Source organism: Homo sapiens, chromosome Y (genome assembly GCF_000001405.40).
Source record: "Homo sapiens chromosome Y, GRCh38.p14 Primary Assembly".
NCBI classification, from domain to species: Eukaryota; Metazoa; Chordata; class Mammalia; order Primates; family Hominidae; genus Homo; species Homo sapiens.
Window position 1 is genome coordinate 11,671,821 of NC_000024.10, and position 1,975 is coordinate 11,673,795.

Sequence of the window (1,975 nt, forward strand, 5' to 3'; positions counted from 1 at the left end):
AGGTAATCGAATGGAAGGGAAGGTAATGGAATAGACTGGACTATAAAGGAACGGAGTCAAATGTAATGGAGTCGAATGGTATGGAATCAAATCGAATGGAATCCAATGGAATGGAATTGAATAAAATTGAAAGGAAAAGAATGGAATGGAGTGTAAAGCAAAGATATCGAATGGAATGGAATAGAAAGGAATGGAGTTGAAAGGAATAGACTGGAATGGATTAGACTCTAATGGAATGGACTGGAGAGGAATGGACTCAAAAGGAATGGAAACAAATGGAATGGGATGGAATGAAATGGAATGCAACGGAATGGTAACTCATGGAACGGAATGCAATGGAATGGAGTTGAATGGAATTGAAACCAATGCAATTACATCGAAAGTAATAGAATGGAAAGAAATGAAAGGCCTCGAATGGAATGGATTCAAAAGGAATAGAATCGAATGGAATGGCATAGAAAGGAATGGAATAGAATGGAATGGAATGGACCCAAATGTAATGGACTCGAATTGATTTGAATTAAATACAATGTACTCGAAAGGAATGGTCTCGAATGGAACTTGTTCGAATAGAATGAAATCGAAAAGAATGCAATAGTTTGGAATGGAATCAAATGGAATAGAATGCAATGGAATGGAATGGATTGCCAGGGAATTGAATATAATAGAGTGCAATGGAATGGAACGAAGTAAAAAGGAGTGGAATGGGATCGAATGGAATGGAATCGAATAGGATTCAATCATAGGGAATAGACCGTAATGGAATGGACTCGAATGGAATGGAATGGAAAAAAATGGATCAAACGGATTGGAATCGAACAGAACAGAATGAAATGGAATAGAGTGGAATCGAACAGACCCGAACGTAATGGACTGCAATGTATTTCATTCGAATGGAATTGAATTAAATAGAAATTTTTCAAATGGAATGCAATCGAATGCAATAGAAAGGAATAGAATGGAATGCAATGGAATGAAACGGAGTGGAATCGAATGTAATGGAATGGAATGGAAAGGAATCGAAAGGAATGGAATTGATCGGAATGGACTGGACTGGAATGGACTCTAAAGGAATGGAAAACAGTGGAATGGAATAGAATGGAATTCAAAGGAATAGAATGGCATGGAATCGGAAGGAACAGAATGGAATGGAATGGAGACGAATGGAATAAAATTCATTGGTATGACATCAAATGGAATGGAGTGGAATGGAATGGAATAGAATGGAATGTAGTGTAGTCGAATCGAATGGACTCGAATGGAATAGAATTGAATGGAATGGCATCGAAGTGAATGGAATGAAAAGGAATGGAACCAAATATAATGGACACAAATGGAATGGACTCATATAGAAAGGAATCGAATGGAATAGTCTCCAATGGAATTTATTCGAATCCAATGGAATCGAATGGAATGCAGTAGTTTGGAAAGGAATCGAATGCAAAGGAATTGAATGGAATGAATCGGAATGGAATGGACTGGAATAAAATGGACTCGAATGTAATGGACAGCAACATAATTGATTCGAATGGAATGGTATAGAATGGAATGTAATCAAATGGAATGAAATGGAATGCAATGGAATTGAATATAATGGAATGCAATGGAATGGAAAGGAGTCTAATCGAGTGGAATGGAATAGTATGGAATGGATTCAAATGGAATGGATTCGTTGTGAATGCACTGGAATGGAATGGATTTGAATAGAAAAATCTGGAACAAAATGGAATCTAACGGAATGGAATCGAACGGCATGGAATACAAGGGAATGGAAGGGACTCGAATGAAATGGAGTCGAATGGAATGGACTCCAATTTAATGGATTGAAATGGAATGGACTCGAATGGAATGGACTAGAGTGGAATGGAGTTGAATGGAATGGAAACGAATGGATGGGATGGAATGGAATGGAAAGGAATTGAATGGAATGGAATCAAATGGAACGGAATAGAATCGAATGGAGTGGAATGGAATA